At 37.0% G+C, this 13,656-nt stretch overlaps 1 protein-coding gene across 4 annotated transcripts in view; it reads right to left on the reverse strand.

Annotated features, from left to right (window-relative positions):
* The window catches only part of YIPF7 (Yip1 domain family member 7), a 40,112-nt gene that overhangs the window by 9,730 nt on the left and 16,726 nt on the right, over positions 1 to 13,656 (reverse strand). For 2 of the 4 annotated variants that reach the window (XM_047450094.1, XM_011513679.3), the window contains exons 3-4: positions 10,932 to 11,045; positions 4,105 to 4,268 (exon numbers count right to left, since the gene is read on the reverse strand). In XM_047450094.1, coding sequence (XP_047306050.1) covers positions 4,105 to 4,268; positions 10,932 to 11,045 — 278 coding nt within the window. Of the gene's footprint in view, positions 1 to 617; positions 4,269 to 10,931; positions 11,046 to 13,656 lie in introns of those variants that run through there. The other 2 variants (NM_182592.3, NM_001387382.1) reach the window with 2 other exon arrangements.

Raw genomic sequence — 13,656 nt, forward strand, 5'->3', positions numbered from 1 at the left:
ATTTTAAATTAATTTCACCAGAAATTTATGCGCTCAAACTTTATTTTTTAATTTTGGCATGTATGCTAAAAATATGTTTTCAGTATTTACCACAATAAAATGGTATTTAATTCCAAATACCTTTTCCTCAGAAAATATAATTAGTTTGGAAGAAATTCAGATGAAAATGCTTCACACGACATCACACTGATGTCAACCATGTATTTAATGGCATAACTAACTCCTGCTCATATTTTAACGTCAAACCATGAGGCAGTAAATGAACATAAGCCCATACAAATATTTTCATAATAATAAAGATTGTATGTGCTTTCTACTGAAATAGATCTCTATAATATTGTGGTTTTTATTTATTATAAGGTATGTGAGTGATTATAACTATTAATTGTAGATACTCTAATATAACATCTTATTGTACAAAATAAAAGAAGATAAAACTGCTGTGAAATTTTAATGCAAAATTTATTGTTTTGCTGTCATCTAGTGGTAGTAAAGTATATGATACATATGCTATAAAAGTGAATTAAGATCCCTACTTTCTACGCAAATTGTGGCATTGGCCTTTCATATGGAAGTCTCGAGCTACGCTATAAATACAAAATACCAAATATCAGTAATTTTTCGTATCTGACAGACTTGAATTTATTATTATTCTTGAAAATGCATTTGTTAACATATTGATTTTACATTAACAAAGAGCAAAATTTATCATTCTTACATAAAACCAAACAAATATTTTAGACAACAAAATATTTAAGAAATAAAGTAGGACACTTTTGAAACAACACATTTTTGTGCATAGTATTATAGCTTCATAATTTTATAGGCCATTCTGTTGGATTGTCAATAAAAACTAGTAAATGTTATTTAATGCGTTATCCTAGAAATTGTATTTTTTTTATATCTGAAAAAGACATACCCTGGCCTTTTTCATATCTTTAGACAAAAGAGGCTTGAGGCTTTCACAAGTCACTCAGCTTGAAGAACACATTGGATCCAAAATCCAGATATTTCATAGATTCAAAGCACAAAATTATATTAGGTACTCTATCTTCTAATACAGGTGTCCCCAATCCCCGGGCCGTGGACCCATATCTACCTGCCCATGGCCTGTTAGGAACCGGGCCGCACAGCAGGAGGTGGAGGTGAGCAGTGGGCAGTGGGCGAACAAGTATTATCACCTTAGCTCCGCCTCCTGCCAGATGAGCTGCATTAGTTTCTCATAGGAGCGTGAACCCTATTATGAACTGTGCATGCAAAGGATCTAGGCTGCACGCTTGTTATGAGAATCTAACTAATGCCTGATGATCTGAAGTGGAAGAGTTTCATCTCAAAATCATCTCCCCAACCTGGCTGTGGAAAAATTGTCTTCCACAAAACTGTTCCCTGGTGCCAAAAAGGTTGGGGACTGCTGTTCTAATACACTATGTATTTTGGGGAAATTAACTCTGAGCTGTATAAAATGGAAATAAAAATCTATTACATATTTTCTATTCAAATTGAAAGACATGTTAGAGGAGGATGTATAGAAAGTGGTAAATTAATGCAACAATAGAGACATTTCAGATAGTAGAAAAGATTACTTTCAACAAATGCTGCAGGAAAAAAATTAGTTAAGCAGCACAGAAAAAATAAATAAATCCTTACTTCACATATTAAGCTTAAACAACTATTGAATAAAAAATTTCAATATAAAACAAAAAACATAAAAGGATAATTTTAAAATGTGAGCATCTATAAGGAGATAGAGGCAGTACTTAGAGCTGGAGAAATAGACTCTAAACAAAGAACAATTGGAAAGAAATGTTACTAGAAAAGATATGCTGGGTTTAAAAAATTAATATCACATTTTTAATATGTCCCAAAGACCCATAAACAAATTAGGTGGCAAACACAAGCTAGGAAAAAAAAAGTTTAAAATGCACATTCTAGGCAATAATTAATATGGTTACTATATAAAATCCCTAAAAAATAAACGAGGAAAGAAAACTCTTTAGATTCTATAGAAATCTGAACAAAAAAACCCATGAAAAATAAAAAGTCAATACATATATGAGAAATGTCAAAATTTTTTTAGTAACCCAGAGGTACAAAGTATTCCTTTTTCCTTTTTTCCTACAAAATTGACAAAGACATGTCATATTCTACTCTGGAAGTGGAGTAGAACACCATTTTTGAGATCAGTTGACAGTGTCAGTACCTTTAACCCAGCAATCCCACTGTTATGGGTACATCCTAAGGACAGACTCTATAAAGGTCAAAGATGGTTTCCTATGATGGTCAACAAAGCATTACTTGCTATAAGGAATAACCTTTAAGGCGTGTTTAAATTACGGTTATGTTATATGATAGAACTCTGTGAAACCATTATAAATTGTTTTCAAATAATATTTAATGACTTTAAAGAATGCTTGCATAGAAGTGCTCGTGACAGGCTGGGCACAGTGGCTCATGCCCGTAATCCCAGCATTTTGGGAGGCTGAAGCGGGTGGATCACCCAAAGTCAGGAGGTCGAGACTAGCCTTGACAACATGGCAAAGCCCTGTCTCTACTAAAAACACAAAAATTAGCCATGCACGGTGGTGTGCACCTGTAGTCTCAACTACTCAGGAGGCTGAGGGGGAGGATCGCTTGAACCCGGGAGGCAGAGGTTGCAGAGAGCTGAGATTGGGCCACTGCACTCCAGCCTCGGCAACAGAGTAAGACTCCATCTCAAAAAGAAAAAAAATACTCGTGACATAAAGTAAATAAAAAGAATATAATACTTAAGTACTCAGATGCATATATATTCATTGAAAAAATAGTATTTTACTTTAAAGTATGCATGTATATTCATACATAATACATATACACAGGCATTTATAGGAAAATAGAATAAAGGCTAGAAGAAAATACATCAAATTGTTAATGATAGTCATGTCTTTGAGACAAGAATTGAAGTAATTTTTATATTTTTATTCTTATGTTTCTATGTTTTCCAAATTCTGAAGACAATTAGGGAGAGATATTGGCAAAGTCAAGGAAAATGTTTAACAAGAATAACTTGTAACTTCTAGGTGTTTATTACTTGTAGAGGCAAAACTGAATGAACTGGTTAAAGATAACTGATCCAGAAACTTGACTGGCTTCTAAAGAGCCAATAGATCGATTATATAAATCTCTGTTCTGTTCTGAACAGTTTAAATCTTTCATGTTTTTATATTTTTAAGGAAAAGAAAGAAGAATGTGGCTGGTTGTGTTCATGTGAGGCAAACACCTTTACATCTTGTGATGTAAAATACTGGAAATTTTAATCTATTCCTTTTCACTTGACTACATGCAAAGGACTTGGAGTAGTTAACCAGTGACTATTTCTGCTTGGTTCTCCAATTTAAATCCACTTGGGTTTTAGCGTCTTAACGCCTATGTTTCCAGCATTGTATTAACATTGTTTAAGAGCAAAAACAGCACATACAGACTGGCTACATATGAAAAAAAAAAATCAATGGATGGAACAACTCCGAAATCCCCTAAGTACCTTCAGTTCCAAGAATGTCTGGATTTCCTTCCCACCAGCAGCATTATTTACTGGATTTATGTTCTTCCTCACCTACCCATGCCAAGCTGATATGAAAGGGCTTGTATGAGTCAGGAAAGAAAAAAAACTGGCTTGTCTCCATGTCAACAATGACAACAAAAAATATTAATTTGAGAAAATATCCACTTTGCTCCCAGGAAAACATAGCAGAAAATAAAATACGCTGTTATGAAGTGCTTCATTAACAGGGTGGGAAGGGTGGTCACTTTGATGTAACTACTCTGCCAAAAGATGTCTTCATTTTTTTCTATTCTTGGCCAAGGAGTTCGAATTTAAGAAAGAGTGAAGGAGCATTTAATAGGTGCAGCAATATCACAGAATATCTCATATCTGCACCCAATTTCCCCTATGCAAACATGCAACAAACTTCCAATGGTTTAAGGGTTTTGGTTCAGCAAACTCTTGTTATATGTGAAACAATCAAACATAAGACACTGTACACTGCAGGCTGACAGCACACATTAAGTGCTAATTATTGCTATTATTCTTCTAGCTGTACACACATTAATAACACTTCCTTAACTTATCTTCTAGCAAAGGAGGCTCTTCATCAAAACTGTCAATGTAAGGAGATTGTGAATAATAATCTGAGTTGGATGCTGGCTGAAAAAATTGTCCTGCGTAACCCGATGACATGAGCATCTCTGATGGAACAAAGGAGGCAGGCTGAGGCTGCTCACCAGCTTGTTGTCTAGAAAAAGAAAAATACAAACATTTACATGTCTAAGAAAAAGGTATCATGACAAAGGAGGAAAATTACAATTTTACTTACATGAATTCATGTAGTTTTTATGAGTATTTACTCATGAAAGAAACAACTTACTTAAAATTTAACTTTAGTCCAAAAATGTAAAATAACTGGTCATCTAAAGCCTTCTAGAAAAATAATCCACGCCAATAAACATTAATTGAGCATGGACAACATGCTGAATGCTTCCCCTAATCTTTTCTCAGTTAAAACTCTATAAGGTAAAAGCTGTATTTCTAATCCCATTTTACAGAAAAAGACATAGAATTTCACAGAGACTAAACGACTTGTCCAGTAACACAAAATAACATTGCAGGTGCTGGACTCTGGTGTGAAGCTTTCTGAGCAGTGATCTGCTCGCCACACACTGATGCTTTTTAACTTATCTTCAGGGACAGTCTCCAGCCATGAAGCCCCTCCAAATATGTGGAAGCAGCCAGGAAAAAATATAATTTTAATAGTATAGTCAACTGATAGGAAAAATAAATACATACACTAATTGCTGTGCATAAGGAAATACACTTCAGTTGTAGCCATTCCAAGACAGTCATTGCCAGTAGAATTGTCTCTGAGTTCCTAGCTAAATGTATTATCTAGTTGGCTTTAGTGTCTCTTTATTTTATTTGTACAAATTTATGGGGTACGTATAAAATTTTGTTACATGCATAGATTGTGTAGTGGTCAAATTAGAGCTTTTAGGGTATCCAAAACCCAAATAACATTCATTATATGCATTAACTAATTTATCATCACTCCTCTCCTACCCCCTCACCCTTCCAAGTATCAATTGCCAATGATTCTACTCTCTACTTCCATGTGTACGTATTTTTAGCACGTTTATGAGTAAAAACATGTGATATTTGATTTTCTGTGCCTGGTTTGTTTCACTTAAGATAGTGATTTCCATTTCCATCTATATTGTTGTAAATAACATGATTTTATTCTTTTCATGGCTGAATGGTATTTCATTGTATATATACCACATTTTCTTTATTCATTCATCCATTGGTGGATACTAGGTTAATTTCATATCTTTGCTATTGTGAGTAGTGCTTCAATAAACATATGAGTGCAGGTATCTTTTTGATATATTGACTTCTTTTCCTTTGGATATATACCCAGTAGTGGGATTGCTTGATAAAATAGTCATTCTATTTTTAGTTCTTTGAGAAATCTTCATACTGTTTTCCATAGAGGCTAATAATTTACATTCCCACCAACAGTGTGTAAGAGTTCCCTTTTCTCTACATCCTCATCAACATCTGTTACTTTTTGTCATTTTAATAAGAGCCATTCTGACTGGGGGAAGATGATATCTCACTGTTGTTTTAATTTTCATTTCTCTGATGATTAGTGATGTTGAGCATTGTTTCATATACTTGTTGGCCATTCGTATGTCTTCTTTTGAAAAATGTCTATTCATATTCTTGCCCACTTTTTTCTTTTTTAAAAAAATTTTGTATTTCCATAGGTTTTGGGGGAACAGGTGGTATTTGGTTACATGAGTAAGTTCTTTACTGGTGATTTATGAGATTTTGGTGTACCCATCACCTGAGAAGTATACACTGAACCCAATTTGTAGTCTTCTATTCCTCACACCCCTCCCATCCTTTCTCTCGAGTCCCCAAAGCCCATTGTATTATTCTTATGCCCTTGCATTCTCATAGCTTAGCTCCTACTTATAAGAGAGAACATACAATGTTTGGTTTTCCATTCTTGAGTTACTTCACTTAGAATAATAGTCTCCAGTTCCATCTAGGTTGCTGCAAATGCCATTAACTCGTTCCTTTTTATGGCTGAATAGTATTCAAAAGTGACTAATATCCAGAATCCACAAGGAACTCAAACAAATTATCAAGAAAAAAATTCCCATCAAAAAGTGGGGTAAGGACATAAACAGACAATTCTCAAAAGAAGATATATAAATGGCCAAGAAACGTGAAAAAATGCTCAACGTCACCAATAATCAGGGAAATGCAAATCAAAACCATGATGCGATACCACCTTACTCCTTGCCCACTTTTCAATGGGATTGTTTCAGGGTTTTTTGGCTGTTGAGTTTCAGGATTTTTTTTTTTTTTTTTTTGGCTGTTTGTTGGCTGTTTTTATTGCCGATTCAATCTTGAATCATTATTGGCTGGGGGCCAAAGCCAGATGGAGCTGGACTAGGCAAGCTTGCACTCAGGCCCGCCAGTCATGAGTGCATGTACCAGCCATGACAGGTGAGGGCAAAACAGTCCATCAAAAAGTAGGCTAAGGACATAAACACAATTCTCAAAAGAAGATATACAAATGACCAACAAACATATGAAAAAATGCTCAGCATCACTAATGATCAGGGAAATGCAAATCAAAACCATGATGCAATACCACCTTACTCCTTGTCCACTTTTTAATGGGATTGTTTCAGGGTTTTTGGCTGTTGAATTCAGTTCCTTGTATATCTGGTTTTTAGTCCCCTGTCAAATGAATATTCTCCAAATATTTTCTCCCATTCTACTGGCTGTCTCTTTACTCTGTTGATTATTTCTTTTGCTGTGCAGAAGTTTTTAATTAAATCCCATTTGTCTATTTTTGTTTTTGTTTCCTATGCTTTTGAGGTCTTAGTCATAAATTCTTTGCCTAGACCAGTGTCCAAAAGTTTTCCCTATGTTTTATTCAAGCATTTTTATAGTTTAAGGTTTTATGTTTAAGTCTTTAATCCATCTTGAGTTTATTTTTGTATATGGTGGGAGATAGAGGTCCAGTTTAATTCTTCTGCAAATGGCAATCCAATTGTCCCAGCACCATTTATTGAAAAGAGTGTCCTTTTTCCAACTTATGTTGTTGTCAGCTTTGTCAATGACTAGTTAGCTATAAATATGTGACCTTATTTACATGTTTTCTATTATGTTCCATTGATCTATATGTCTATTTTTATAGCAGTACCATGCTGTTCTGGTTACTATAGCCTTGTAATATAATTTCAGGTCAGGTAATGAGATGCCTCCAGGTTTGTTCATTTTTCTCAGAATTGCTTTGGCTATTCAGGCTTTTTTCTCCTTCTGTATGAATTTTAGGATAGTTTTTTTCTAATTCTGTTAAAAAATGCTGCTGGTATTTTGATAGTGATTGCATTGAATCTATAGATTGCTTTGGGCCTTATGGTCATTTAAACAATATTAATTCTTTCAATCCATGAGCATGAGATGTTTTTCCATTTGTTTGTGTCATGCACAATATTTTTTCATCATTGTTTGTCATTTTCCTTGTAGATATCTTTCACCTCCTTGGCTAATAAATGTATTCCTAAATTTTGCTTGTAATTATTGTAAATGAGATTGCCCTCTTGATTTCTTTCTCAGCTAGACAGTTATTGCTGTATAGAAATGCTACTGATTTTGTATGTTGATTTTATATATGTATGTATTTTATACATATGTATTTTATATATGTATGTTGAATTCATTTATTAACTCTAAGAGGTTTTGGTGAATTCTTTAGGTTTTTCTAGAAATAAGATCATATCATCCAATTACCAATTTGGATGGCTTTTATTTTTCTCTCTTGCCTGATTTCTCTAGATAAGATTTCCACTACTATGTTGAACAGGAATGGTGAGAGTGAGCATTCTTGTCTTGTTTCATTTTTTCTTAGAAAAAAATGCTTTCAACTTTTCACATTCAGCATGATGTTATCTGTGGATTTGTCCTAAATAGACTTTATTATTTTGAGGTACATTTCTTATATTCCTAGTTTGTTGAGGGTTTTTATTATGAAAGGATGTTGAATTTTATCAAATGCTTTTCTGCATCCATTGAGATAATCATATGTTTTTTGTCCTTGGCTCTGTTTATGTGATTTATCACATTTATTGCTTTACATGTATTAAATCATCCTTTCATCCCTTGTATAAAACCTACTAAATCATGGCATATTATTTTTTGATGTGCTGTTGCATTTGGTTTGCTAGTATTTTGTTGAGGATATTTGCATCTATGTTCATCAGAACTATTGGTCTAGTTTTTGTTGTTGTTGTGTCCTTGTCTGGTTTTGGTATCAGGTGTTACTGGCCTTGTAGAATGACTTAGAGAAAACTCCCTCCATCTGAATTTTTGGGAACAGTTTCAAGAGGATTAGTATTATTTCTTTTTTGTACATTTGGTAGAATTCGACTGTGAATTCATGTGGTCCAGGCCTTTTCTTTGTTGACAGACTCTTTATTGCTGATTCAATTTTGTCACTTATCATTGGTTGAGGGCCAAAGCCAGATGGAGCTGGACTGGGCAAGCTTACACTCAGGACTCCCAGTCACGAGTGCATGCACTGGCCATGACAGGTTGGGGAGAAACAGTCCTCAGGCCTCTGGTGGAATTCTTGGGTAAAGTGTAGTCACCACTGCACTGAGGTCCTTCCATGGGAAGGGTGGGACCAGTCCCAGTGGCCTTAGCCTTGGCCAGTGAGTAAGAGACTTGCTTCCTTCTTACAGCCCCCAGTCCAGACAGGTGTCATAGCCAACCCAACTGTTGCCCCTCAGTTCATGCTCATGGCCCATAGGAGTCTCCACTTAGCTCAACACTAAGCCTTCATGGCAACTCTCATCCTGCTCAAGTAGGAGGAGCAGTACCTGCTTCCTGCACTGGTGGCTGCAGCCCATGCCACACTAGCTTCTTAGTCTTGGTTGTTAGGGCCAGCCCCTAGTTCACACCCCGGTTCTGCAAACACCAGCCTAAGTTTCCCTAATGCCTAGGACTGGAATTCTCAGGACTTCACACAGTCTGTTAAGGGCTAAGATCTAGAATGGTGTCTTACTTTAGCTGCTTGGGTTTCAGAAAGAGCATGGAACCCAAGGCATGCTCCCTCCCTAAAGCAGTTCCTTCTCACAGTTTCCTGGTTGCTTTCTAAGTTAGATCTAGGGTTTGAGAGAGTCAAGGTGCTCTCCCATAACCTGAATTATGCAATTCCCCAGCAGGAAAGTGGACCACGTATAGACTCTCACTCACCCTCTCCTGTACTGGAGAGTCATTCCTGGTTCTTGGCTGGTCTTGGCCATGTATGCTGCCTATTTTCCTTCCCCTTCCTAGCTTTTGGTGTTTTCTGTCACTTTCCTGTTGAATTCCAATGTTCTGCCTTGGATAATATATTAGAAGTGTGATTGTCTACACACCATTTTGCTTCTTCTAAGTGGATAAAACATGCTTGAAATGCTTCAAGTCAGCCATCTTGAATAAAAAAAAGAGTCCCTTTTTGAAAATGGGCAATTCAACTTTGCCAAGCCATAATACCTCTTTGACATGTTTTTGCTTTTTATTTTTATTCATTTTAAGTTGTTTTTACCTTAAAGAATGGAAAGAAACATAGAGCTGCCCAGTAACACGTTTTAAGTTTCTTTCATAAAAGCCCTTGGGGTAAACTGAATGTACAGTCCAAGGTTCTGAACTTGGTAACTCCTTGTGATTTCTTTATGATAAAATATTTACAAAATGGCCTTTAGTACTTTCCTTCGAATGTTAATCTTAATATGAAATCTAAGAATAACATATTCGACCTCCTTTATGTGAGTAAGCCTGACCAAGAGAATAACTTATTTAGGAAAAGAAAGCCACAGATATAGAGGGGGGAGATATACACTTAATCATTTACTAACTCAAATGTATGCTCATTAAGAGCAAGAGCCTGGTGTAATAATATTTGAACCTGCCAGAATGTATGGTGATTACCTGCTATTATTGTTCACTTAGCCATATGTAATATTCCTAATCTATTTTCCAGCAAAATAGGCACATCATCAAAAACACTGGTAGAAACAAATTAGCAATAGGAATCCGAATGGCTTTTTTATTGATAAAAATCCCCCAATACCTATTTTTTTAATGTAAGCCTTTCCAGAAAAATGAAAGGGACACACAAAGATGACTAAATGGACCAATGTCTAAGTAAGACTATGTCATTGCCATACTTGTCTGGCCTCACCATAACTCATGTCAGGTGCTACTAATCAGGCTTGAGTAAACATAACCTTCACTGTTATTAGCTGCAAAGCAACCTCTGTGAATGAGTGGACTATTTCAGGTAGTAACTTTGACCATCCTCTTCAAAGAGAAACAAAATTTTACAGAAAAAAATTCTCAGGAGCTTGGATTCCATTGTCCTTATTGTAATGGGGTTATAATACTAAAATTCCTCTACCACTTATTTAAGAAAGTAAAATGTTAAAATTTGTCCCATAAAGGAAAACACATAATTATTCATAAAATTACCATGCTCACCTTTGATAACTATCTAAATTTAAATTATAGCTTTCTTTATCTTATATCTTTGTATACCATCACTGTAATATTAAATGTTTCATCTCAATAAAAAAAAGCATAACCAATACCAAAAGAATCACATTATTAGTCCAAAGTATGATCCAAAAAATCTGTAAATGATATAGTTTGGATCTGTGTCCCCACCCAAATCTCATGTTGAAATGTAATCCCCAATGCTGGAGGTGGGGCCTAGTGGGAGGTGATTGAATTATGGGGGCAATTTCTCATGAATGGTTTACCACCATCCCCCTAGGGCTGTTCTCATGATAGAGTTCTCATGAGATCTGATTGTTTAAAAGTGTGTAGCACTTCCCACCTCTCTCTCGATCCTGCTCCTGCCCTGTGAGATGACGCTCCTGTGCCTTCCACCATGAGTAAAAGCTCCCTGTGACCTCCCCAGGAGCAGCTGTCGCCATGCTTCCTGTTCAGCCTGTGGAACCATGAGTCAATTAAACCTCTTTTCTTTATAAATTATCCAGTCTCAGGTATTCCTTTATAGTAGTGTAAGAATGGCCTAATACAAGAAATTGGTACTGAGGAGTGGGGGCATTGCTATACAGATACTTGGAAATGTGGAAGTGGTTTTGGAACTGGGTAACAGGTAGATGTCAGAAGAGTGTGGAGGGCTCAGAAGAAGACAGGAAGATGAGGAAAAATTTGGAACTTCCTAAAGACTTGTTAAATTGTTATGACCAAAATGCTGACGGTGATATGGACAATGAAGTCTAGGCTGAGATCTCAGAGGGAGATGAGAAATTTAGTGGGAACTGGAGTAAAAGTCACTTTTTCTATGCTTTAGCAAAGAGACTGGGTGCATTGTGCCCCCTTCTCTAGGGAAGTGTGAAATTTTAAAAGTTAGAATGATGGTTTAGGGCATCTACTGGAAGAAATTTCTAAGCAGTAAAGCCTTCAAGATATGACCTGGCTGCTTCTAACAATCTATGTTTATATATGTGAGCAAAGAAATGATCTGAAACTTGAAATTATATTTAAAAATGAACCAGAGTGTAAAAGTTAGGAAGATTTGCAGAATGGCCAAATGATAGAAAAGAAAAGCCCATTTTCAAGGGAGGAATTCAAGCAGGCTACAAACAATTGCATAAGTTAAAAAAAAGAGCCATGTGCTATTAGTCAAGAAAACAGGAAAAGGACTCAAAGGCCTTTGTGTCAGTCCTTCCCATTACAGGCTCAGAGGCCTAGGAAGGAAGAATGGTTTCATGGGCCAGGCCCAGGACCCCTCTTCCCTTCATAGCCTCAGGACATTGCTCCCTGCATTCTGGCCACTCCAGCTCCAGCCTTGGGGCAAATGAGCCCAGTTACAGCTCACTGCTTCAGAGGATGCAAGCTATAAGTCTTGGTGGCTTCTGCATAGTGTAAAGCCTGCAGGGGCACAGAGTGCAAGAGTTGAGGCTTTGAAGCTCCACCTAGATTCCAGAGGATTTATGGAAAAGCCTGGATGTCCAAGCAGAAGCCTGCTGCAGGGGTGGAGCCCTCATGGAACACCTCTACTAGGGAAGTGTGGAATGAAAAAGAGGGGTTGAAGCCCCCACACAGAGTCTCCACACAGAGTCCCTCACAGTGCAGCTGTGAGAAGAGGGCCATCATCATCCAGACCCCAGAATGGTAGATCCCCCAGAAACTTGCAACCTGCATCTAGAAAAGCCTCAGACATTCATCACCAGAACATGGTGTGCCCTGCAAAGCCACAGGGTTGATGCTGCCCAAGGCCTTGGGAGCCTACCTCTTGCATCAGTGTGACCTGGATGTAGGACATGAAGTCAAATGAAATTATTTTGAAGCTTTAACACAGGGGTGTCCAATCTTTTGGCTTCCCTGGGCCACACTGGAAATAGAAGAATTGTGTAGGGCCACACATAAAATATGCTAACACTAATGATAGCGGATGAGCTGAAAAAATTGCAAAAGTATCTCATAATGTTTTAAGAAAGTTTATGAATTTGTGTTGGGCCACATTAAAGCCACCATGGGCTGCACACAGCCTGTGGGCTGTGGGTTGGACAAATTTGCTTTAAGATTTAATGACTGCACTGCTGGGTTTTAAACTTGCATGGGACATTCCCTTTTTTTGGCCAATTTATCCCTTTTAGAATGCCTACACCTCTATTGTAACTTGGAAGTTACTAATTTGTTTTTGATTTTACAGGATCATAGGCAGAAGGGAGTAGCCTTGTGTCAGGTGAGACTTTGGACTTGGACTTTTGAGTTAATGCTGGAGTGAGTTAAGACTTTGGGGAACTGTTGGGAAGGCTTAATTTGAACTTTGAAATGTGAGGACATGAGATTTGGGAGGGTCCAGGGGTACAAGGATATGGTCTGGATCTGTGTCCCCACCCAAATCTCACATTGAAATGAAATCCCCAGCTGGAGGTGGGGCCTAGAGGGAGGTGATTGGATCATGGAGGTGGTTTCTCATAGATGGTTTAGCACCATCCCCCATTTCTGCTCTTTGATAAAGTTATCATGATATCTGGTTGTTTAAAGATGTGCAGCACCTCCCCACTCTCTCTTGGTTCTGCTCCTGCCATCTGAGACTCCTGCTCTTGCTTTGCCTTCTGCCAAGAGTAAAAGCTCCCTGAGGCCTCCTCAGAAGCAGCTGCTGCCATGCTTCCTCTACAGCCTGTGGGACTATGAGCCAATTAAACCTCTTTGCTTTATAAATTACCCAGTCTCGAGAATTTCTTCATAGCAGTTGTGGGAATGGCCTGATACAGTAAATAACCCAATTCTTATGTTTTAGGGTTTTTTTCTAAAAATTTATATGAACAACTTTAATTTTAAACACATATTATGAATTTACATTTAGTCCCCTATGTCTTCTGGTATTTTCCTTTTTTTACTAAGTGGCACCAACTCTGAATGGCTATGCCAATGAGTTTTCATATATTCTTAGAGACATCTTTCAAGCCTACAATATCCTTTCATGAAAAAAGTCTCTGAGATAATGGATCTGGACACTTCACTATTTGCTCTATTAAGCCTATAGTCCTTGACGATTAACCTAGTAGAGGTAATGTAATAAG

The sequence above is a fragment of the Homo sapiens genome, chromosome 4 (assembly GCF_000001405.40).
Source record: "Homo sapiens chromosome 4, GRCh38.p14 Primary Assembly".
NCBI lineage: Eukaryota > Metazoa > Chordata > Mammalia > Primates > Hominidae > Homo > Homo sapiens.